This window comes from Homo sapiens, chromosome 14, assembly GCF_000001405.40.
Source record: "Homo sapiens chromosome 14, GRCh38.p14 Primary Assembly".
Taxonomy (NCBI): Eukaryota; Metazoa; Chordata; class Mammalia; order Primates; family Hominidae; genus Homo; species Homo sapiens.
This window is the reverse complement of record NC_000014.9, coordinates 55,936,880-55,963,323: the sequence shown is the minus strand read 5'-3', so window position 1 is coordinate 55,963,323 and position 26,444 is coordinate 55,936,880. Positions and strand designations below refer to the sequence as shown.

The window sequence follows — 26,444 nt, the reverse complement described above, 5'->3', positions numbered from 1 at the left end:
GACATAAATTCAATCACCATGCAGATGTGCAGGATCATCCCTCTAAACTGTTCTTCTTCACTTAGAGTTAAATCACACTGACTCCCCGTAGCAGTTAGGAACCCTCAAGGTGAAAACAAACATCAAGAGACCTAATCCTAACCAATCTAAACTATAAAGGACTTTAATGCGAGGTTCAGAGGCTGGACTCAAAGATTGGTTTGACCCAGAGCTTCAACCATGTCACCAAAATTTGGTGATTTTTGTCTCTCTGCTCTACCTTCCAAGAAAATTAAAACACAAACACATACCAAAAGCAATAAACAGATATCTTAATTTGTTTGAGCTGCTATAACAAAACACCTTAGACTGGGTAATTTGTAAATAATAGAAATTTATTTCTCAGAGTTCTGGAGGTTGAGAAGTTCAAGATCAAGATGCCGGCAGATTTAATGCCCAGTGAGAGCTTGTTCTCTGCTTCTTGCTTCCAAAATGGCACCTGTTGCTGCTGTGTTTTCATCTGGTAGAAAGAGAGGAAGGGCAAAAGGACAAAAAGGGAGAACTAGCTCCTCAAGCTCTTTTATGAGGGCACTAATCCCATCAATGAGGGCAGAGCGCTTATGGCTCAGTCACCTTCCAAAGGCTCCATCTCTTAATACCATCACCTTGGGGTTTAAGTTCCAACAAATGAATTTTGGAGGGGCACATACATTCAAACCATAGCAATAAAGAACACATGTTAAGCATTTACTTTGCACCAGGAACTGTTTAAAGTGCTTTACATGTATGTACCAGGTTTCATCCTAAAGTAAAGTGCTACTAGCAGCAATTAAAACACCATAATTCCTTGAACACAGATCACAGGAAATGAAATAATCTCCCTCTGCTGTCACCCAACAGTATTCACCCCAAACCAATTGCTATGGAAGTAGCAATGAGATTATACTCACACTACTCTAATCAAATCTCCTTCTGAATCTGGGGTTAGTGTCAATGACCAACAAAATAATTTGTAATTCCATTACAAGTGAGAAGAGGAGCCTGGAAAATCAACTAACAGTACTCACTATTTGTATTATTATTGGTTAAGTGTCCCAGTCCTGGATCTGCACTCTTCCTTCTTGTGCTCTGCTTGTTATAGCTCTGCTTGTTCTTGTGCTCTGCCTGTTATAGCTGTTATTGTCATGAAAAGTGGCTATTTAGTCCCACCTATCAATACTAAGGGAATGAAAGGAAGACAAAATCTTCTTTTCTCACCTTTAAAATTTTCTTATTCTTTCATCATATTATAAGCACAGTCTCATGTCCCAGTAGGATTGTAGCTCATTGAAGACATGGATCTTGTCATATTATTTTTGCATCACCTAAAGCCAACATATAGAAATCATTAAGAAATGCTTTCTAACCTAAATTGGAATCATGGGGCCTAAACCCATAATTACATGGTGCCATAATAGTGACATGTATCCAGTTGATTCTGTCCATTTTTACCTCATGTATCTGGAAGCTCTGTTATTCAGCATGTACACATTTATGTTTATTATGTATTCCTGATGAACAAACTTTTATCATTTAGAAATGTTCTTTTATATCTATTTTTTCTGATATTAATATAGCTACTCCAGTCTCTTATATTTTCAATTTGTGTGGTATATCCACTTTCTAGCCATTTACCTTCAACCTACATTGTTTTTATTTTTAAAGTGCAACTCTTATAGACAGCATATAGTTGGGTAGTGCTTTGTAAAATCCATGTTGACAACCTCTGCCTCTGAAGTGAAGTGTTTAACTCACTAATATTGAACACATTTATTCATATGTTTAGATTTAGATTTACGATTTTATTATCTATTTCCTGTTTGCCTGATTGTTTTTTGTTCTTCTGTTCTCTCTTTCCTGACTTCTTTGGATTTTAACATGTTTTAGATTTTTTCTTTTAATTACTTTATTGGCACTTTAGCTATACCTCCTTGCATTACTTTTATACTCTTTGCATTACAGTATTAATTACTGTTAATATTTGCTGCAGTGATTACAAGATATATCCTTAACTTTGTGGACTACTTAAAGTTATTATTGTACCATTTTACATAAAATAGGCTCCAATCCCTTTTCTTTTATCCTATATTTTATTTCTTTATTCTCATGTTGTCATATGAATTTCTTCCTCATATATTATAGCCCTACATGAAACATTATTTTTTCTTAAATAATTCTCTTTATTTTAAAGAAACAAAGAGGGAAAAATCGTCTTTTATATTTACCTATTGTTCCATTATCTTAAGTAATCTTTATTCCTTCCTTAAGATTCAAGTTTCTCTCCAGTATCATTTTCATTTATCTTGGAGAGATTTATTTAACATTTTTTGTAGTGCAGAACTCCTGATAAGTTCTCTTACTTTTCCTTATCCAAAAATATATTTAGTTTATATTCATTTTGAATATTTTTGCTGAATGTAAACTTCAGAATTGATAGGTTTTATTTTTCTAAGTATGCAAAACACGTTGTTTTGCTGTCTTTTGACCTCTGGACTTTCTAAGGAGACACCTTCCTGTCATTTAAATCATTCTTCCCCTTTAGGTAATGTATCAGTTTTCCCTGGCTGCTTTCAATATTTTCTGTTTATATTTGGATTTATTTCAACCGTTTGACTAAGAGGTGTTTAAGCATGATTTTCTTCATCTATGTCCTGTTTGGGGATCATTGAGTTTCTTGAATTTGTAAATTTACATCTTTCACCAATTTTGAGAAATTTTTGGCAACTGAAGAAATGTTTGAATTTCTTCAAACATTCCTACTGTCCCATTTTTCTCTCTCTTTTTCTCCTGGAACTCCAATTACATATCTGTTGGATTTTTTTGCCATTATCCCCACATCCTTGAAGCTCTGTTTATGTTTTCAATCTTTTCTCTCTCTTTTTCTGTCATCAAGTTTATTGACACGTTTCTATCATCTCTATTCTGCTATCCAGGCTATCTAATAATTTTCGCTTGTTTTAGATATTGTAATCTTCCATTCTAGAATTTTCATTTGACTTTTAAAAAATATTTTCTATTTCTTTGCTATGATTTTTAAATCCCATTTATTACAAGTACGTATTCCATTATCTCATTGGGGATAGCTATGATATTTCCTTGTTTGAGAATTCCAATCTAGGTTATCTTGGGATAGGTTTCCATTGATTGTCTTTTTTGTGAGGCTGGGTCACACTTTGTATGTCAAATGATTTTAGCTTGGATTCTGCACATTGTAAATGTAATGTTGTGGAGGCTTTGGATTCTTTTGTTAAATTTATTATTACTATTTTTATGCTATTTTGAATGGAATTTTTCCTTTAATTTTATAACCTTTTCCAGAAAAAAAAAAAAAAAAAAACCAGTTCAGGCATCAGGAAGGGACCAGAATAAAACATAAATCAAAGTAGGGTCTATAAGGAATCTACAGCATCATCTCTGATAGGAGTTGGCAGAGATACTGGCCAATGACTCTGCTTGGTAAAATGAGGTGGTTTTAAGTTATTGCTTCCTTCTCTCCTTCTATACCTGAGTAGGAGAGAGCCACCACAAAGCTCTTACCCTGCGATCCCCTTTCTGGGCCAGTCTCTAGTGCTGCTAGTGCTGGTGGGATTTCCTGATGACTCCGTGAAGTGGATGAATGGGACATACAGAGGGGGCAGTCAGCAGAGAAGAGGACTGGCTTATCGAGGGAGTAGGTCTTCAGTACTAGAAATAGCTTTTGGAGATAGTGGCTCACACCTGTAATCCCAGTGCTTTGGGAGTCTGAGGTGGGTGATTGCTTGAGCCCAGGAGTTCAAGACCAGCCTGAGCAACATGGCAAAACCTGTCTCTATAAAAAAAATTTTAAAATTAGCCAGACGTCGTGGTACACACCTGTAGTCCCAGCTACTCAAGAGGCTGAGATGGAAGAATTACCTGGGCCTAGGGAGGTCAAGGCTGCAGTGAGCTGTGATAGTGCCATTGCACTCCAACCTGGGTGACAGGAGTGAGATCTTGTCAAAAAAAAAAAAAAAAAGAAAGAAAGAAGGAAAGAAAGGAAGGGAAAGAAAAAAAGAAGAATAGTAGCTTTAGTCACCACAGTCTACCAATATAGTTAGTGATGGCTTTAAATCCTTTTTTTAAATCTATGCTTCAACAAGAGGCAAGACTAAAGAGTTTAATTCAGTACATGTTCCAAAGCGTATTCAAAGTTACTTTAAATGTGTTGCCTAAAATATTTTAGGAACAAAGCAGGGCATAAATAAATAATAAATAAATACCTATTTCTGTAAGTGGGTCAAGAAAAGTAGAGACGTAACCACTATTCCATAGATATCTGTTGGGACTCAAAAAAATAGGTGCGCCTTAAATAAAAACTCTCCCAAGGGATCTGTGGCACAAAATACTTCTACCACTAATCTACTGGGTCATAGGACCCAAGAGCTAAGGGGGGTCTTGAGGTCATTTAGTTCAATCTCCTACCCAAACCCAATGTACTAGACCCCATAGTCTAGTACATAGTCTAGTACATTGCTTACGGATAAGTAACAATGATGATAATAATAAAAAACACTTATGTGTATTTTACTATGTACTTTTTAACATTAATTTCTTTAAACCTCCGAATAACCTTGGCAGGTAGGTAGTAGAATATGCCCATTTTACAGAAGAGTACAGCTGAAGACACAGGCTTAAATGTCTATCCAACTTTTGCTTAAATGTTACTGCCTTGTAGTTTCATTATGAAAAGGATATGCCTGATACAAAGCTCCCCTTATAAAAATTAGTCCCAAAAGTTTTTCCTCCCTAACAACTCTAATTCCTTTTAATTCAATCTGAGCTGTTTCTTCTTCCTCCCAGATAATAGGAATTCCCAACCCAAACTCAGCATGCACTTCAGTCTATTGCCCTCCCTGCATGAAGGCAATGTTTTCTGGACAGCATCCCTTGGCATCACTCTAAAGGTTATTGCCTAAATTACAAATTTACCTTTGCCCTTTGCTTCAAGGAAGGCCCCAATTACCACATTGCTTCTTTCAAGGGTCTGGGAGCTCTGGGCAGGCAATAATTCAGGTCTCTTTAACAAGCAGGCAGTGGCTCTGTTGTCCAGGGGACAGCATTCGATAAACATGCTGCGCTTCGAACTTCCCCCCATCTCCACTTACCTCTAAAACTAATTACCTTGCTAACTCCGGAGGCTGTACAGTCATGCTAATGAGCTGCTGGACAATGGCAGTTTTTGTTCTCCAGAGAAAAGCTACAATGCAGTGGGAGCCTCGGCAAGTTCAGGTCAGCTCTTCTCTGAGACTAAGCTTCGGAATTCTCAAAATACCACTTAGCAGGGAGACGGACTTGGATGCAAATTCCTCCTGGTGCTGAACATGTCCTTTAATTAGCATTCAGGGAAATAAAGAAAAATGAAGATTTAAAGGTCACCGCATTAACATTTTACCCCCACTCCTGAATAGCCTTGTGCGTATACTAATCTTCCACTCATTCCTTCTATTAATCACTGTCTCTAAGGAGAATTTGGCCAAAGCAGATTAGCCAACATGTTTCCTGATGGCAAAATTCTCCTCTATAAATAATAATAAAAGAAATCCCTGCCTATTTGTTTAACATTAACGTTTTCATATAAGTGAGTGCAATCGGGGTGGTTAAAATTTTAGCTCCCACTGAAAAGAAGTCAGACAGAATTTCTTGTTTCTCTGCAAACCGAGATCAGTGTCAAGACCTTTTTTTTTAACCTTCAAATCTGACCAGTTATCCTTCTCCCTAGAAGGATTTCATTTTACAAAATGCCCATTAGTGACAGACTCTTTTCCTGGATGAACTAAGAAGCCATTACAATATTTCCTTTGCAAACAACACAATATGTTCTTTAGATTTGAAAACTGTCGAGTCCAGAAGAAAGGCTTTAGGAAACAGTTTGGAATTCAGCATCTTCTGGTCACTGTACCTGTAGCCCACTCCACCCCAGTCCCCCACCATTTGCAATAACCTCAAAGCCTTTCCCTTGAAGTAGCACCTTTCCATACTGCCCTGCTCTCCTAGTACCTGAATGAATGAGAAGAGGACAAATTACACAGCCGAGCCCCAAATTCCCACAATGCTTGTTCAGTGAAAAAAGAGCCGCTGGGGGTTTCCTTCCAGAGGTCTTCAAATGGACTTGCACTGCTTCTTCAGCTCTGCCCTTTCATGGGAAACATTTTACACTGTATCATGAAAAGACAGTCTCAGAGAAAACCCATCCCTGGTGCTACCCTGGTACACAGACATCTCAGAATCTGAGGGGCTGGGGGTCTGGACACCAACCATTCTGACCAGTGAGCATAGCCTTGAGATTTGGTAGCCAACAAACCACACTTGTTTCTACAGCACTTTCCATAGCGTTTCTTCTGCACACACACACTGCCTCCAGTACAAAATGTTTATAAAGCTGATGGGAAGGGGAGCGGATGTCCTGACAATTCATCTCTGCAATAATTTTTTTTTCCAGCAAGCAGCCAAAAATCATTCCAAACCAGCAACTATAAAGGTCAGGAGGGAAATCTGTTGCTGTCTTTGAATAATTTCTTATACACATTAGGAGAATGTGGTAGAACAGGGAAAGGAATGGAAGCCTCTTTCTTAGTGTCAACCTGAAAGGCATGAGACCTTTCCTTCCCTGCCTCTCCGCCCACCTGCTGGCATCACTCACACCATGCCAAGGTATATTATTATCCAGACCACAAGAGCATTATTGATTCACTGACTTTCACAGACCGGAGTGCTACCCAATGGACTCTGTTATTACAAATATAATAAGCAAGAAACTGGCCCTTTCTTGTTAGACAATTCCAAGTTTTATTGATCCCATCACTTCTGTCTAATGGTACACAACCAGGAACAATAAATCTCAAAAAATGATTGAAAGCAGAAATCAAATGCATGTTTTCTAGTATTCATAGGCTGATCCAGTCCTCTTCTCAGAGGAAGGAGTGAACAAAACATTACATTTTGGCTGTGCATCAGGAGAAGTCCCCCAAGAGGCACACAGTCGCATTCACTGTTAAAAATAAAGAAGTTTAGGGTCCACCAGAGAGAGGGAAAAACTTGCTGTGCACATAGGGTTTCAAGAACTTCTAATAAAGGGGCTGTACAATTTGGTCAATGGCTGTTAAGAGCAGACAGAGCCATACACCATCCTTAACTGTAACTCAGCCCAGTTCCCTGATGCCCATAGGTCAGTAGGCAATGAGACCTTCATTAAATGTCCCTTGGAGGGACATTTCAGGTCTCCAGAATATAGTCAGCCCAGCAACAGAAGAAAGTGAAAGTGACTATAGCTCAATTTTCTTGATCAAAAACACAAGCGTACACCAAGAATTATATACAAGGCAGGCTGGCACTTAATTGAACTACACCTACAAACAAATAGGATAACAGAATTAACAAATTGTTTGAGCAAAATAATTGTAATGAACAATGTAATACTTCTGACCCTTCATGGTACTCTAGGCTTTATTTGGCAGAAGAATTCATCACCAGATGGAAGCAGCAAGTCCTCTGAGTCCTCCTGTGACCCTACCTTCTTTAGATCCACCTATGGGTAGAGCTGGGGTCACAGTAACAGCAGTGTCTCATGTGTGAGGTCCTCAGCACTTCTCGGAGTCCCAGGGCATGTCTACTGTATGCTGATGAACAAGCTCCCTCCTGCGGGGCACAGTACATGCTTCGCCCAGAGCTGGGACCCTGCCGTATCACCACCAGCACCCTGGCTTTCCACGATGCTATAGCTGCTTGGTTTATGGCAAATGGAAGTTGAATTCTCCCCTCCCATTTCAGTAATTCTTGCTAAAGCCATACTTTCTGATATTTATAGTTTTCAGCAGGACAGCTCTTGCAGGTCCTACCACTAATTCTCTCTCTGCTTAGGTTCCACAGAATATCCAAATCCAGCAATGGACCATACACTGTCCTTAGTGTCACTGCACTCCTCTGATGATTAAAGCTGTGACTCAGCCAGTTCAACATATCCAGCTCCTTCTCTGTTTGTTTGTTTTTGTTTTTTTGAGACAGAGTCTCACTCTGTCGTCCAGACTGGAGTGCAATGGCATGATCTCGGCTCACTGCAACCTCCGCCTCCCAAGGCTCAAGTGATCCTCCTGCTTCAGCCTCCTAAGTAGCTGGGATTACAGGCACGCACCATCACACTCAGCTAATTTTCTTATTTTTTGTAGAGACAAGGTTTCACCAGGTTGCCCAGGCTGGTCTCAAACTACTGGGCTCAAGCAGTCTGCCCACCTTGCTGTCCCAAAGTGCTGGGATTACAGGCATGAGCCACTGGGCCCAGCCTCCTTCTTCCTTTAGGATACTTTCTCTCCAACGGGTTTCCTTAGCTTGTTCACAGAAACTTGTGCCATGTCATCCTGTGGTCCAGACAAATCATAGCACCAGCAGTGGGCAGGTATCAGACAGAAGCAGGGCTTCTGCTTATCTTTGTGTAGGAAAATTCTCCCACATCCTTACAGAGACGGCCCCGTGGTGGTATGAGACCCTGGGGCAGGGAGTCAACACACAGTGTGGGATCTTCTCTCATATGTATTTGCTTCATCTGATCTGACACACCTATAAACTATCAGAGGGGCTCTCTGATGGAGGCAATACTTCACTGTTTCTACAGAGATGGTGCAGACTTTTGAGTCTGAAATTTAAAACCTTCTTGAACTTTCCTAATGAAATGAATTAAGTCAAGGTTTGGTTGATGGAATAGCAAGGAACAATTTCCACCTTTTCTGTGTGGTATTTGAGGTCCTTCTATTGCCTATCAGGCTCACCTGCTCACAAGAGCCACTCTGGAAACATTTGCTAAGCAAAACTGAGTTCTACTCCACTTCTCTCCTCCACCTCCAGGGAAGAGCAAAAGGCATGAGAGAGAAAAGTGGAAAGGATTCCTGTTCAACTCAAGTCCTGAACCAAGTCCACCATTCTTATATCTACTAAGCAAGAGGCCAACATTTCCACCAGAGCATGTCCTCACATCTTGCTTAATGTTGGAAAGCTGAGTGCACAGAACAGCTCTAGGCAACACCAACTGAAAATGTTTCTCATAGTTTCATATTTTAAGTTGATGCTTAAAATAGTAAACACATATTTTATATTTACCAATAACTTTAGGTTTCAGAAGTACTCTTTAGCATTTATCTCACCCACAAAAGACTTGTAGATAACAGTTTTTTCTTCCTATTTTAGAGAGAATTTATTCCTATTTAGTGTATGGAACCATCTACTCACACACTTACTCACTCTTTCACTTCCCCATCCATCCATTCATCTATCTTCTATTCTTTCCATCTCAAACCTGAATTACATCCATCTTTTCACCTGTTTTTTTTTAAGTGCCACAATTACGATATGAGCAGGAGAGGGTAGAAGCTTACAGACTTTCTCCCTATCCCATCCCTTCTCCATCAGTCAGGATTCAATCAGAGAAACAGAAACACTAGGAGATAATATTGGAAAGGACTAGGAGATTTATTGGAAAGGACTGCTTATGTGACAGTGGGGCTGGCTAGGCAGGTCCAAAATCTATACAGCAGGCCATCAGGAAGGGCAGGCTGGAATTCTCAGGCACTGACTGAAGCTTCAGTCCACAGGTAGAAACGTCTTCCTCTTCCAGGAAACCTCAGCTCTGCTTCCCAGGCCTTTCAACTGATTGAACCAGGCCCATTAGATTATCGAGGACACTCTCCCTTACTTCATGTCAAATGATTATGGACTTTAATCACAGCTACAAAATACCTTCATGACAACACCTATATTAGTGGTTAACTGGGGCTATAGCCAAGCGAAGCTGACACATAAAACTGACCTTCATACCATCCACAAGACAACACTTCAAGATCACTTTCTTTCTTTCTTTCCTCAAGCTACCATACTCTTCAGACATTCAGAATTATAATTGCACTTTGAAACACAGCATTATGGGCAAGGTCCAAATTTTAAGAGCTGTTAATGTGAAGTGTCTCTGACTGTTTTTAACATTTTTTAACTCCCTCATTCCTACTGAGAGTATTCTCAACATCCATCATGTCCCAACCCTGGACCCTATCACATGCACCTAGTCCACCGGCACACTTTCAGCCCAAGTCACACTCCACCTGGTTTGGTCAATGATGCTCTAGTAACATGAGCGTCCCCTCTGTGACACTCTGACATTTCTCCAGACTTAACCTGTCTTTTCAATCCCTACTGCTGGGAAACACCAATTCACTCATTTCCACCATTGTTTCTGTCTGTCTGTCTCTCTGTCTGCCTGCCTATTGTAATATCCTAGGAATTCAGGAACTGATGCCATAATAAATGTACATTCTCCACCCTAAATGAGCCTCTCACTGATACTTGGATTTTTACCCACCTCCATCTGATTCCCCTATCGCTCCTCCAGTATAGGAAATCTTCCCACTCTCTTCAAGCCTCCAGCTGCCCCTTCTCTGCAGGTGACCTAGATCCCTAATCAACTGATGCTGCAGAACATGAATTTTCCCTCCTCTTCCCTCCATTTCTAAATGTCTCTGTATCTTCCCTCACCCTTTCCTCCCTCCTTCCAATTACAGAGATGGTTCTTTCATTTCCCTCTCTGGTCCTAACTCCTTTACTTACATTAACCATCCTAAGCTTCTCAGTTCTTCTTGGATTTTGTTTCTTATCAGCCCCTCTCTGTATCCAAGTTCTCTGCTCTTTATTGCTTTTCTCTCCATTATTAAAAACACGTGCAGCATTATTCTCTTATGAAACAAAACAGAAAAAAACCTTCTCTATGTCCCCGCTTCTTCCTGAAGTTATTTCCTCTTATCAGTTGCTCTCCTTACATCCTCAAAAAACCTTCTCTGTCCACATTTATTCTGCCCATGGCTCTTGCCTCCTCACCAAAGAAATCATTCCTTTGAACATTAAGTGGCTTACCAGGCACCCAACCCAATGGTCTTTTTGCAACACTTGACTGTTAAATCTCCCTCAGTTTCCAAGACCTGGTAATTTCTTGGACTCCTCTGCCTTTCTTGACTATTCCTTGTTTGTCTCCTCTTACCAGTGATTATCCTTTGTTCCACATTTATAGATTACAGGTACTTACATCTTTCAAATGGAGTATTAATATCCATGAGGCTTCCCTATGATGCTGCAGGAGGATGTGAAGACACAAGATAACCAGAATGTGTATAAAGTGGAGAAGATGCGTTTAAAAATAATGACAGGGACCCTTTACAGAGAATTCAAAACTAGCTATGACGTTTAACACAAGCCTTCTAAGAAATAGCATATGTTTAGCAGGACACTTTAAGCCACACCCTCCAGGCTACCCACGAATGCTATTCACCGTCTTCTGACACCAGACTTTGGCGGAAAAGGCTCCGAAACTTTGACCACATTATCTTATTTGACCATCATGACAAATCTATTTTCAGGACACTATAATTATTACTCAGTTTTGCAGGTGAGGAATATGAGGGTAGAGTAGTTTCCTTAATTAATCTGGGGCTTCAGTTATCAAGTGCTACATTTAAAAACATACCAAAGTTAGTGGTTTGCAACAACAACCAATTTATTATTTCAAATGATTGTGTGGGTGGACTGGGGATCAGCTGGACAGTTCTTTTGCTGACCTCACTTGGGATTTCTCATGATGCTGCATCAGATGGTGGCTGGGGCTGGAATGTCTTAGATGGCTCACTCCCATGTCTGGCACCTGGCTGGGGACAGCTAAAAGGCCGGGCTCAGCTGGGATGGCTGGGTCTCTCTCTCCATGGGGTCTCAGGGCCTCTTCCTTTCTATGGGCTCTCCGGCAGGGTAATTGGATTTCTCGCATGGTGGCTCAGAGTTACTCAAAGAGCAAAAGCCTTCTTAGAACTTAAGTCCAGAATGAACACAATGTCACTCCCACTGCATTCTTTTGCTTAAAGCCAACCACTGGCCTATGCCAGGTGCAAGCAGAGGGGAAGCATGGTCCATTAGAAACTGCCAATATGACCCACTACTGGACTTGTCTGAGTGATGAAGCTGGGGCTTGGGCCCAGTTTTTCTTTAATTTTACCTTTTTAAAATTATTTCTTGCTGTTAAGTTACTTGGTGATGAACAACCTCATTTATGTAGCTTTTTAATGTTTGAGGTTACTTCCTAAATGTCCAAAATTGGTGTTACTAGATTTAATAATATGAATGCTTTTGTAGCTCTTGATGCATACTGCTAACTATTGTCCAAGACATTTAAACTGTTTTATAAAGAGATTTGTATATATCATATGAATACACAATTTTCCTATCCCTTCAATTAGAACTGAATATTATCATCAAAGTTTTTCCAATTTAATTAGCAAGAAGTGATATTAACACTTCAGTTTGTATTTCTTTGAGTAGTGAGGCTGGCCATTTGCATACATTTATTTACCTATTATAATTCTTCTTTTAGGAATTGTGTGTCCATGTCTTTTACCCATTTGCCCTTTGATATTTTGCCTTATTTCTTGTCAATTTTATGGTGCTTTATGTAATAATACAATTTTCAATTGCCTATACATCTTTTAATAGTTTTTTTTTTAGACGGAGTCTCACTGTCACCTGGCTGCAGTGCAGTGGCACGATCTCGGCTCACTGCAACCTCCACCTCCTGGGTTCAAGCAATTCTCTTGCCTCAGTCTCCCGAGTAGCTGGGATTACAGGCGCACACCACCACGCCCAGCTAATTTGTGTATTTTTGGTAGAGACGGTGTTTCACCATGTTGGCCAGAATGGTCTTGATCTCCTGACCTTGTGATCCACCCGCCCTGGCCACAAAGTGCTGGGATTACAAGCGTGAGCCACCTCGCCGAGCCTTAATAGTTATTTTTAAGTCACAGCCCTGAATGTAACAATCTTCTCCTAAAAATGAAACAGAACAGCCAATCAATGAAAAGAAGGGTCAGCAGTTCCCTACTGTGTAACATAGCTGTTCCCACCACCTTCTCACTCAGGCATCTGTGACAGATGGCAGTCACGTGCCTGACACACCACCATGACACATCCCGGGTTATGCACATTTTGCACATTTGTTGTAACTTTACCCCTTTCTTTCGCTTTTAAGAAAGTATATCAAAATTTTCTATTTCTCTGCTGTGATTGCTTATTTTTTCATCCATTAAAAGTATATCTTAGTTTGATATACTCCCACTTGTTTATTTTTGCTTTTGCTGCCGGTACTTTTGGTGCAATATCCAAAAGAATTCTTGCCAACATCAATAAAGGAGATTTTCCCTGTGTTTTGTTTTAGGAGTTTTACGGTTTCAGATCTTATGTTTAAGTCTTTAACTCATTTTGAGTTGATTTTTGTATGTGGCGTAAGATAAGGATTCAATTTCATTCTTTATCATATGAAACTTCATACCCTTTGACCTTTGTACCCTTTGACCCTTTATCATGTGAATATCCAATTTTTCCAGGATGTTTTGTAGAAAAAAAATATTCTTTTCCCATTGTATCTTTTTGGTGACCTTATTGAAGATCTGTTGGCCATATATGAGTGGCTTTGTTTCCGGGCTCTCTACTCTGTTTCATTGGTCTGTACTTTTTTTTTTAATGCCAGTAGCATACTGTTTTGATTACTATTGTTTGTAATATAATTTGAAATTAGGAAGTGTGATACTTCCAACTTTGTTTTTCTTTCTCAGGATTGTTTCAGCTACTTGGAGTTTTTTGTAATTCTATATGAATTTTAGGATTTTTTTCCATTTCTGCTAAGTGAACTAAACCAGAACAGAAAGAAAAATGCTGGATAATCTCACTTATGTGTGGAATCTAAACTAAACAACAACAACAACAAAAATCCCTTGAATTCATAGAAACAGATAATAGAAGGGTGGTTACCAGGGGCAGGGTGGTGGGGAAGGTTGTAAGAGAGGGAATGGGAAGACAGAGGTCAAAGGGTACAAAGTTTCAGTTATGTGGGATAAATAAGTCTAGAAATCTAATGTACAGCATGAGAACTATGGTTAATAATATTGTACTATTTAGTGAAAAATTACTAAGAGAATAGATTTTAGGCACTTTTACCAAAAAAACAAAATTGTGAGATAAAGCATATTTTCTTTTACCTGATTAAGCATGGTTATACCAGCTGCTTTTCTAACAATCCCAATGTCTACATTGCTCTTTTCTAACAATTCTAATGTCTACATTATTTTGAAGTTAACATCTGTTGATTGTCCTATCCCTCAGGAATGGATCACATCTTCCTGGTTCTTAAGTACTTTTGGACTATGTCTTTAACATATCAATACTATGTTGTGGAGACTCTCAATTCTTTTATACTTTTTCAAAGGGTGTTTTTTTTTCTTTAGAAAGCAATTAACTTGGTTAGACTCAAAATGCACACTGCCTGCCCAGGGTGTGGGAAGATTTAGGGGAAAGAATCTAGGGCAACTGGAATCACCGGAGAATAATGGGAAACCCCAGTGTACTAGTCCCTTTTCATACTGCTATAAAAAACTGCCCAAGACTGGGTAATTCATAAAGGCTTAGTTGACTCACAGTTCAGCATGGCTGGGGAGGCCTGAGGAAACTTACAATCATGGTGGAAGGTGAAGGGGAAGTAACGCACTTTCTTCACAAGGTAGCAGGAAGGAAGAGTGCCAAGTGAAGGGGAAAGAGTCCCTTATAAAACCATCAGATCTCATGAGAACTCTCTCACTATCATGAGAACAGCATGGGGGAAACTTCCCTCATGATCTAATTAACTCCACCTGATCTCTTCCTTGACACGTGAGGATTATGGAGATTACAATTCAAGACGAGATTTAGGTGGGGACACAAAGCCTAACCATACCACCCAGAAAGGAGAAAACCAGAGAAGGGAATGCCAGATTCTGAGTATAAACTATGCCCAAGACATTAGCTGACTGCTGAGCCACACAGGCTCACCTTCCCTTAAATCCTCTCACCAGAGAGGCACAGACTTTCTATTGAAGTTTTAACTTCATGCCAACATTATGATTGCCCTGAGGGTAAAACTCAGCAGTCTGAATTTGACTCCCTTTTTTTTCTGCTCTTCTACACTCTCCAGAGCCCTCAAAGAATAGTTGTTTTTTGAGGGGGATTTTTGGTCTGGACTTTATAGTTGTTACCTGTCAGAGAGTCAGGCTATTAGATAAAAAACTTACTTCACTATACTGGAAACAGAACTCTTTCAGAATATGTGCTTGTTACATGCAATAGAAAGTTCATAAAAATACACATGGTATTTGTCCAAAGTGAGGAAAGGAATATTTTAGTTTAGGGAATCACTACTTACTCACAACTTTTTGTTAATGATGGCTGTGGAAGTATAAAACATTGCAAGTATAATAGCATTTTTTTCTATATTAATGGCTTACACACATTTCTAATAACATACACAGTTTTTGTAACTCTTTTTTTTCTGTTTGTTCTGGTTTAACCCACTGAAATGCTATGTCTATCTGTTAAATATGTATAACATATTAATATCTAAATACATATATGTGTATATTTTAAATATATTTTTGCTATGAAAATATTGACATATAACCAGCCTCTTGTAGTTCATCATCATCAGGTCTATTTGATAAGTATTCTCATGTGGATTTCCAGTAATATTTTTTTTTTCTCCACACAAGCAGACTCTGATTAAATTGGTTTATGTTGACTCCCATAAATATTTGCACCTACATTATAACTACCATGTAACATTGTTGGTATAGTACCTAGATTTTGTTGTAATTGCTCTTTGTTGTTTGTTTTGTTTTGTTTAGAATTCCTGTACTGGGCTGGGCACGGTGGTTCAAGTGCAGTGGCACAATCTCAGCTCACTGCAACCTCTGCCTCCCAGGTTCAAGCTCACACCTGTGATCCCAGCACTTTGGGAGGCCGAGCTGGGCAGATCACCTGAGGTCAGGAGTTCGAGACCAGCCTGGCCAACATGGTAAAACTCCATATCTACTAAAAATACAAAAATTAGCCAGGTGTGGTGGTACACACCTGTAATCCCAGCTACTTGTGGGGGCTGAGGCAGGAGAATCACTTGAACCTGGGAGGTGGAGGTTGCAGTGAGCCAAGATCGCACCACTGCACTCCAGCCTGGGCAACAAAGCAAGACTCTGTCTCAAAAAAAAAAAAAAAGTATTCCTATAGTAAGTGGTGTTAGTAAGTTCCACGAGAATCTGTAGATTCCAGTGGGAAGTCTGGAACCAGTGCTCACTAATAGACTTCTCCATACATTCCCAAAAGAAGGAGGAACTTTGTCGTGTGGGGAAGATCAATAGAATTTTGGTGCCTGGTAAAGGTGGAAGATTCCAGTTTCTTCTTGATCAAACCCCATACGAACATTGGTGATATCAGTGGTATCCTATGTTATGATATGAATATGAGAACTTTGGCCATATCCCTAGTTTCCTCACTCTGACATACTGGCCACCACTTGGTGGATCTGATACAAATGAGTCTTGCAGCACCTCCCGGGGGGGCAGTGATGCCTAACTTCAGACCTAAAGTCCATTTTTGCCAGTGAGTTTTTCATAAAGAGAAAAAAGAGTAAATATACCTTTTTCAGGCAAGCAATACCTACCCCATTAGGACTCCAACATAATGACTGCTTTAGTCAACCATCTGCAACTAAAGGAATCATAGATACTAATACGTAATTCTTATATTTATGACCAAATATTTACGTGGATGCCCCTCCAAGGAGTAAATGTATATGCAGATGTTCAGTGCCATAGTTTCAACTCAGCTGCTATGCTACAAATCCAATCAGCTTGCTGTGCTGTGTCCACACTGTGGTTGCTCTCACAGCTGACCCTGAACTTGGTCATCCTCACAGCCTCTTTCTTCTTCTTTTACCATGATGTCAAGCATACATGTCAACTCACAGCTGAAAATTGCTCCCCTTCCAGAAGCCTCTCCAGCAACTTCCTCTTATTGCTACAGAACATAGATCAGCAGGTCAGTGCTGCATTATTCTGCACTTGTTTTTATATCACTTCTCGGTTAAACAAGATTATTGAGCACGTGACTGCCTTCACTCCCACAATCACTTAGGTGGACCTGAAATTTATGTGATATCCCAGACAGATAGCCTGAAAAAAAATTTTTTTGAAAAATCTTTTTTATTATATAGCTAATTCAATTGTGTTGTGGAAAATTTATAAAATATATAAAACAATAAAAATTACCCATAATTCTACCTGCAAGCAACAGTAGCTGTTAGCATGTTGGTATATTCCCTTCTAGAGAACATTGCATATAACTGTAGACAGATGTAGAGATAAATATGGATACAGACCCAGATGTCGATGTAGATATAGATGTATTGGAAAAATGTTCAGCTTGTTTTCTAGTCAACTTTGAAAAAACTGACTAGATTATGAATGGTTATGAAGATAACAATTCCATGGGGAAATACAACTTAGATACTGTGATGGTTAATTTTAGGTATAATTTCACCGGATTAAAGGATATCCAGACAGCTGGTAAAGCACTATTTCTAGATGTGTTTGTGAGGGCATTTCTGAAGGAGATTGGCATTAGAATTGATGGACTAAGCAAGAAAGAGCCACCCACAATGTGGATGGGCTCCACCCAATCTGCTGGGGGCCTGGATAGAACAAAAAGGCAGAGAGAATAATTCTCTCCTCTCTTGGAGCTGAGACATCTTTCTTCTCCTGCTCTTGGATGTTAGAATCCCAGGTTATCTGGCCTCTGGACTCTGGGACTTGCACCAGCACCCACCCCCCAGGTTCTCAGGCCCTCAGCCTTGGACTGAGAGTGACACCATTGACTTCCCTGGTTCTAAGGCCTTCAGACATGGACTGAGCCACACTCCTGACTTTTCCTCCTTTCCTTACAGCTTATAGATGGTCTACTGTGGGACTTTTTAGCCTCTATAATCACAAGAACCAATTCCCCTAATAAACCCCCTCTATGTATGTATGTATGTATGTATGTATGTATGTATGTATGTATGCATCTATCTATCTATCTTTCAGTTCTGCTTCCCTAGAGAACCCTAATTAATGCAGGTATTTTACATTAACAGATACTCTACCAGTTCTTAGGTTAAATTCCAAAAGACTGCTTTTCTTACCTGGAAAAGAGGAAAGGAATTTTGCCAATTCACTGGCTCTAAGGCCTTTCCTGGATACAAGGACAGTTAAATGTAAACACGAGTTGCTGGGGGAATGTCACGTAATCTCCTCTAGCTGTCTTAATAGAACCAGTAACAAAACCATATAAATTCTAGTACATAAGGACAATGTAAATGTGGCCTTCTGAAGGCAAGGGTACAATGGCAAAACAATCCTCTAGGTTGCCACATGAAATTCTGCTTCCATCGAGGGGGTCTTGTGGCAAGATGGGCCAAGTCATGAGCCATGAAACCCTGTTCTAATTAAGTACTTCTGTGGCCACAGGAAAGTCAGTTTACCCCTCTGAGCAGCAACATCCTGAGTTTTAAAATAAGGACGTTATAGGGGAAATCATCCATGAGAGGATGTGGCACATCAGCTATGGTCATGATTCCTTACTTCTAGACAAGAAGAGGCTTGCTTCCTATTGGTTTCTAAATCTTTTTTTTCTTCTTCATGAGACATTATAAATAGAAACTTCTCTTAAAAAAAAAAAAACCTTTTTGGAGTCTGTATCACTTGAGACTTACCAGTTTCTTAAGGATTGGCAAAGACTTTCTGACAAAATAAAGACACACACCCCCATCCCACATCTTTATACTCATGAAAAGATTTTATATGATCATATGACATTTCCTGGATTTGGTTTGGACTAGAAAATACAACACAGGATGAGACCAAAAATTTCAGAGGTTTTAAAACTCAGACAGTAGAAAAATCAATGCAAACTATTGGAAAAACTGGGGAGAAATGAACCTGAGCAGTGCCTGCCCTGCACTGTCTCTATGTGGTATAATGCTATCCCTGGGGGGAAGGTCTTCATAGAACAGAGTAGCCATCCCAATATTCAGAGAACTTATCACTTCCACATATAAAGGCAAACACACTCTTTTGTAACCCTGGTATTCTTTGGATAGGATTTTGTTAAACAGTATTGTAACATATTTATTAATATAGGGTTTCTATTTTTATACCCATTTGGGTATGGCAGAGAAACTAGAGGAGAGAATGAGTTGGTGAGGTGGAGAGTCAAGTGTACTCCACCAAGTTCTCTAAAACTTGAGGGCCTGAGCCTCAGTTTCTCCACTGTAAAATGTAAATAGTAATTCTCAGTGAGGTGTCATGGTGCTCAAATTACATAATAGATCTGAAAGGGCTACACAAACTGGAAAGCACTATATCATTATAGGGTAATGTTACTACAAAAGATGAAAATCTCATTTTTGTACACTGAGCATGTGTGACATCTAAGATTTCTTTCCATAGCACCTAACTGTACCTATTTCATTATACTTACTATACCACCAATCCAGATCCCTTCTCTGAGCTCCAGAATGTGAATCCAATTGCTTACCTGACATGCCCACTGGGATATCTTACAATTACCTCAAACTCTACAGGTCCAAAAGCAAATGCATGATCCTTCCTCCTCAAGCCTGGTCTTCTTTCAGCATTCTTTAACTCAGGGAATGGGGTCACCTTTCATCAAACAATGCAAGCCAGAAAATGTGGAATTATTGACATCTCTCTTTCCATCACCATAAGCTGAACTCAACGGCCTAAGGGAAAAAAATAACAGTTTTTGGCTTTGCACATTTAACAAATTAAATAGTCTTTTCCACAAAGCAGTCTCCAATGTTAAAAGCAAACAAACAAAAACCACTTCATATTGAATTTAAGGACTCGGGATTCCTAATGCAACTAATGGTGACACACCATAGCACCCCAGATTTCTTGACATGTGTATACTATTAGGCTCTCCCTGAATCTGTGCTTCTTATATTCAAGTCAAGATTTAGGTGGGGAAAAGAATCTAGAGACTGGCTATAAATATAATTTAATCAATGCCAGCCAAATCTTTGGCTGGATTAAAGTCAGGATCTGAAATGTGTACTTTGGAAATTCATTCATTTCTCTACGTCTGTGGTTCCCTCCCTCTCTTAGTAAAAATGACAACCTTGTCATATATGAACAAAGTGGGATGGGAGTCTTCAAGCATCAATCAGGTTAGAGGGGTGAGGTAGGGGTAGAGGCAGCAGACCCACAAAACTGAGGGAGACAAACATTAGGACCAGAAGGCGGAAGAATTAGTGCTACCATCAACTGCCAATAGGGGATTTAACTATGCCATCCAATGACATGCTGGGAGCAAAGGGTAAGACTGGACAAAGGAGTGGAGTGCTGAGCAGGGAAGGAGGGCCCCTAGACACCCCAAACCAGGCCAACTGGGCCCCCTAGGAGAGTATCTGAGAGCAGGGCTGGAAGGCTGGAGGGCAGGTTGATGGCTATTACTATGGTAATAGCCCTAGAGCTGAATCAATCAGGGAGCAAAGCTGGAGACAGGCTTCTTTTCTGTTTTCCACCAATCATTTGAAAAAAAAAAAAAAAAAGTGTAAAGCATTGGAACATTTGCAGACAAATTAAATCTTAAATATAAACCCAATACGTAACAGATCAAGGCAAGAAATGCTGCTCTAGTTACAAAGATGTGGGGAGATTGGGCTCCACTTTGTCTACTGGAGATGGGAGGGGTCCCTTTCCACTCCTCTTAATCACTGTGGATGGAGTTGGGGGGTGCAGAAGTGGGGGAGTGGAGACATTGAGCCTTTTCTTCAATCCTTACCCCATCCCTGACTGATGAGAGAAAGATCTGTTAGAAACTCTTGCCTCTGGTTATTTGCCTTCAATCCTGGCCAAGAAAAAAAGCAAATAGGAATGCTAAATCTTATAGAAGATCCTGGCAATGTTGGCCACACCTGGAGCCAAACCAAAAATAAAAAAAAAAAATTCCCCGATAGCTAGCAGGCTTTAAAGTAGATAAGGAGGAAAAATATATTGCCCACATTTTCCCTGGCATAAATTTATGGTGTAGAATTGTGCAATGACAGCTGTCATGTGAACAAGGGTGGCCTTGGGCTTTGACTGCACATAATGGTTACCACTGAGGCAGAAAGTTCTGGGCTGTGGATCCAAAGCTGTGCTACAGTGAGCTGGTGTTACAGGAAGTTTCTGTAACAACAGTAAAGAGAACACACTCAGTGCTCATGTCCAACAAGCACACTAAGTGCGGGGCTGAGTATCCGCCACATACTGTAAATAATGGCAATAAAAACACAGCGGAAGGTGCAGGGAAAAGCCACTCATTCTTTATTGGTGGGAATACAAATTGGTCCAACTTTCCTTGAGAAATCTGGCAATATAGTCATCATTTTAAGCGTGCATACTCGTCAGCACTGCAATTCCATTTCTCGGAACATATCTTGCAGAAATACTCAACAAGTATACACATATATAGATACATGAGATTTTTTGCAGCATGGTTTTTAATAGCAAAAAGAAAAAGTGGAAGTATTAAAACGACCATTAGTAGAGAGCTTGTCAAATACATTATGAGCAATACTCAGGATGGAATCCAACACAGCTTTTAAAATGGGACATATCCATATATATGGATGTGGAATTAATTATCACTATAGTAAGCAAAAGAGAGTTTCAGGCAGTATGTATTGTATAATTCCACTTGTGTATAAAAAGCTCAAGACTATATGCATTTATATAATCCATATTGATGGCTGGAGTCATGGTTAGGCAATGCCATAGAAAAAGATAGATAAACACCCAATAATTTTAACACTGTTTTCCCCCTTGGGAACAAGAGTGCAGGAATAACTCAAGGAATCTTCATTTTAACTTTATACTGTTCAGTGTTATTTGAAGTTTTTCAACAAGAAAACAATAATACAGGTATGGAAAACACAAGGAAATGACAGTGTTCAAGATTTGCGGCCAGGTTGGACTGACTCCACCGTCCATATTCTCTGCTCTGTGCCACAAGCAAAAACATACCACCACCTATAATATGAATTGCCTACCACTCTATCTAGGGTTCTTTTCAGCAGGTTCCACTCCTGCTGCCACAGTCTGCGGCCAAAACTTTGTTCACCGCTTTATCCCTCTCAGAACGGTGACTTGCCATTTAAGAGTCCCTGAGATAGAGAACAGGACAAGCTATTTGAGGCCCTGGCCACTCATGACCAGGAATTCGTCTTCGTTTTATTAATCAAAAACAAAGTCCCCTATTAGCAAGCTCAGCATAAGCACATGTGAAGCAAACATCAGAGCAGAGTAGGTGTTCAGAAGAAACCTCTTGATCAGACAAGCTCCAAGGCCTGGTTGACTATGCTACCCTTCCTAGCATTTAAATCCCTTGTCTCATGGCTGTAGTTAGGTTAAGGAGGGGGTCTGGCTTCTTTTCAGGAGGATGTGGACACCCTCCAAGGGTGACACTGGGTCTGGTTCAGGTTAGAAGCCTAGAAACCATCTCAGCTTCTCCTGAGCACCTGGGACATGGATTTCTGAGACTCTTGCCCTCCAACTGTTTCCTGCCAAACTTCCCTTTCAAAGGGAGCACAGCCATGGCAGAAAAGGCCCCTGGGTTTCCTGATCTGCTTTTTCACCCTCTCAAAGCAGACTCTTTTACTAGTGCTGGTCAGGTGTCCACACATGAGCCCCACTGCTCCAGGCCAGAACATCCTCTTGCGCCTGTCGCTGGTCAATACAAGGAGACTTTCCTACCTTAGAGTGCTGCTTTACTCTTTCTGTTTGAAAAATATCTGTTCTTGACCTCCCTCTTTTCACACTTCACACTTCTGATCACCAATGTTTTCCTCAGATACCATCAGTGACAACTTTTATTTATCTGATTCTTAACTGTACCCGCTATTGTGGGACTTGTACCCTCCTATTTCTCCATCCCTAATTATCTCCATCACTTTTCTTCCGGGAGAGCCTGATCTTGCTCACAATCCACAAGGCAGTGGTAGCATGCCACCTGCATCCACCTGCATTCAGCAATGCAGGAGGCAGAATCACCTCAGGGCACTCAGCATGTGGGGACAGGCTGGGCTGGGGCCCTCAGAACACTGGCCTCCTGTTCAGTAAAAACCTGCCCAACACCTCCCCTCACCATCCTACTCTCGTAAAACCCATAACCATTTATTTAAAATCTTTGTCTTCTAACCTTCAGTAAGATTCTGTGGGAAGTCCCGAGAGAACACGTCTAAAATTTGGAGTGTATATTTTCTCTTAGAATTTAGGGCCCCTTTTGGAATTTGGAGTTTATGTCTACCTCTTCAAACAAATGTTTGCAATACTAGCTGTTGTAGTCAGCTTGGGCTACTATAACAAAATACCACAGACTGAGTGGCTTAAACAACAGACATTTGTTTCTTGTGATTCTGGAGGCTGGGAAGTTCAAGATCAAGACCAACAGTTTTGGCTTCTGGTGAAGGCCTTCTTCTGGCTTGCAGGGACCACCTTCTTGCTGTGTCCTCACGTGGAGGAGAGAGTGAGCTCCACTCTCTTCCTCTTCTTACAAGAACACCAATCCCATCGTGGGGCCTCACCATCACAACCTCATTTAAACCTAATCACCTCTCAAAGGCCTCACCTCCAAACACTATCACATTGGGGGTTAAGACTTCAATGTAAGAATGTTGGTGGCAAACAAACATTCAGTACTTAATTCCAGCCTCAGCAATTGTCCATTGAAAAAACCTTCATCTCTCTTATGTGAAGAGAATCAAATAGATGGCCCCATGTTTGGGTCCTTGCAGTCCACAAGATAGACAACTCTTTGCAGATGGTTACTCTAACTCAGAAAATCTAGGAAAGTGAAATTTGAAAGTATGTCTCCAAAACAGCCCTGATTGACATGGTAATTGTGCTTACCTGCCCTCCTCCCCCGACACAGACAGACAGACACACTTCATCTGTCCCAGGTTCTGGGAGGTGAGTATGGTACAGTGGATAAGGGCCACACTTTGGAGGCAGTGGTGGACCAAGCCTGAGAAAAGGGTTTTTGCAAGATTTCTGGAGATAACCCTCTTCTGTGGTCTGGTCCATTGATATTTCTCATTTCCCTGCATAACTGTCCATTATACCCAATCCCATCCCAAATTCCTTCTCTTACCTAAATGCTCAAACTTCTAAAATGGTTCTATTTGAGGGTATCCACTGGTTGCAGGAGAAAATTAAATAAAGTAAATAAAAGTAATTAAAGGCTAGTACTGCAACCTACTGCCTTCTCCCCACTCTGGTGCCCTCTTACCTAGTTCTTTCTTGGTTTCCAAAGCACTTGTCTTCTGATATACGGTAAAATGCCTTGATTCATTATGTTTATTTCTTATCATTTATCCTTCCTATAGACTGTAAACTTCAAAAGGGCAAGAATCTTGGTCTGTTTTCTTTACTGATGTACCCCATGTGCCTGTAAGAGGTCTGACATGTAGCAGGGGCTCAAAAATTATTTGTCAAATGAATGGAAGTTGCAACTGGGACAGAATTCAAGATTCTCTTCCCTAATCCCTGAATCCTCAGATTTTCAAAGCTTTTCTTGCTGATGGGTCAGGCCCACTTGTGCCAGCTTGTTGGCACTCATCTTGGACACAGGCCACATTTTCTCCAGCCAACCGTCGTGACACTGATTCATTGTTTGTATACAGCTCCTCTTAGGCACGAAGACAGTCTTCTGCCCACGGGCTTACGGCCGAGCTTAGGAAACCCAGCTCAGATGTGAAACCCTAGGCTTGGCAGCTCGCAGCTGGCAGCTGGCAGCCAGACATGGTAAGCAGTCCCTAGCTCTTTCAGCCATTCCCAAGCACTCCTGGGTATGCCATGAAACTACTCTGAACTTTTCTGCACACATGCTTTTTCACTGAACATGACTTGGAAGGGAATGAGCGAGCCGTGGTATATTACTCACCATCAGCTGCTTTGCATGACAGTAAATATTCAGCCATGCCCATGTGTTCAGCACAGGCCTGCCTGGGGAAGTAGGCACAAAGGCTGGGCCAGTCGCCAGCAGGTCTAGAAGTGGGCCCCAGATATGTGCTCTCTGCCAGACAGAAGGGAAGAGGGCTGGAGATTATCACTGGGAATGAAAAACTGAAAATCAGATGGGTGAGGGGACGTATCCAATGTTGCATGTCAAGATGGTGGCAAACCAGGATACAGCTCCTTTCCCTTCACTGTCTTGTCTCTTGGCTGTTCAGCGTCTTCTCTTACCCTTTTCCCGAGTGGCAGGGCCTGCCTGCATAAGTATGGCTCAGTCACAAAAGGCCTCTGAGAGCTTTCTTGCCTAATCTTCACACAGCTCCACTGGTTCTTCACTTAAGACAACTGACTTCCATAACAGTTTCTCCTCTCCCCCAGGCCACCATTCTCACTCACTCAGCTTTTGCACATCTCTATGCTCCTGAGCATCTAACAAAGTTCTTTGCATTAAGTACTCAATAGGCAGTCATTAAATAATAAAAACCAATCAATAAGCAAGTGAATATGCTTCATCCTCTTAGTGCTGTAGACTTGGGACAAAGTGTCTTTCCATGATTATCACAGTTTAAACACCAACCTAGCCAGATAGTCATACAGCTGACCAGTCCTCACTTCTTAGGACAAATCTCCATTGTGGATATTTTAGGCAATTTGGTGCCGTTATGCAAAAGTAGGGAGCAGAGAGCACAGAGCAGGCCTGCTGTTGAGCACTGGGCTCCCTGAAATTGACATTCCAAATCAGACCTCCCAGGTCAGCCAATGTGGGAACATTACTAAAGGAGCAGGTGCAAGATGGAAGAGAGGATATGTTTCCGTCCTGATGTGATTCAACATCAAAGCTGGGCAGTGCTAGGAGATTGCCCACTAGCTGTGCTAATGGGTCAGCAAGGACACAGATAAGTGAAAGCATTTGACTTATGACAGTAGGTTTTTGGGTTAATTTCTGGAGACAATGTGACAGAATGGAAATATCTCAGGCTTTGCAGTCAAATCAACAAGTATTCCTATCTCTGCTCCACCATGTTCTAGCTGTGCGACTTACAACAAGTTACTTGACCTTGTTTACTCATTTGTAAAAAGAAGGAACGTAAATCGCTTGCAGGAATAATGTGAACAGGAAAGGAAAAAAAAAATGTGTGTGTGTGTGTACGTGTGTTTTTAATCTTCTCACAGTACGCAAAACACTGCAAGTACTACATTGCTAGTATAAAACTAAATTCTTTTATGTATTCACTTGATAATAGTGTTTAGACAGTTGTTATATGCTAAGCAGAGGAAATTCTGTTTATCTTAAAATGTTCTAAAATGAGAAACATTCACTTTGAAAAAGTTTCTGGAAGTAGCAGAGGCGTTTTATACAAGTTGCAGGTAAGGTATTATGATATTGTGAAATACACATTTAGTGTTCCTCCGGTTTCCTGGCACATGGCTCCTAAAACCCTTGGAATCTCTGGAGTGATAAGAATGTATTTTGCATGATAATGA

General features: G+C 40.5%; 1 long non-coding RNA gene across 6 annotated transcripts, besides 1 other annotated feature; it reads right to left on the bottom strand.

Annotated features, from left to right (window-relative positions):
- Positions 1-353: 353 nt before the first annotated feature.
- On the bottom strand, positions 354-19,878 carry LOC102723670 (uncharacterized). Of its 6 annotated transcripts, none has more exons than XR_007064181.1 (4): positions 19,512-19,878; positions 5,158-5,362; positions 1,237-1,343; positions 354-499 (listed from the first exon to the last, which is right to left on the bottom strand). It is a non-coding gene; the product is annotated as an uncharacterized LOC102723670 (long non-coding RNA). The 6 variants fall into 6 exon arrangements; XR_001750775.2 differs by lacking the exon at positions 19,512-19,878 and adding an exon at positions 6,034-8,040; XR_001750772.2 differs by lacking the exon at positions 19,512-19,878 and having other exon boundaries at positions 5,158-8,082.
- Positions 4,843-5,431: an enhancer, noted in NCBI's record as "OCT4-NANOG hESC enhancer chr14:56424611-56425199 (GRCh37/hg19 assembly coordinates)". NCBI's record gives its function as "activates a minimal SCP1, AML or CMV promoter by ChIP-STARR-seq in naive H9 embryonic stem cells {active_cell/tissue: H9 hESC(naive)}" and the evidence as "EXISTENCE:reporter gene assay evidence [ECO:0000049][PMID:30033119]".
- Positions 19,879-26,444: the final 6,566 nt, after the last annotated feature.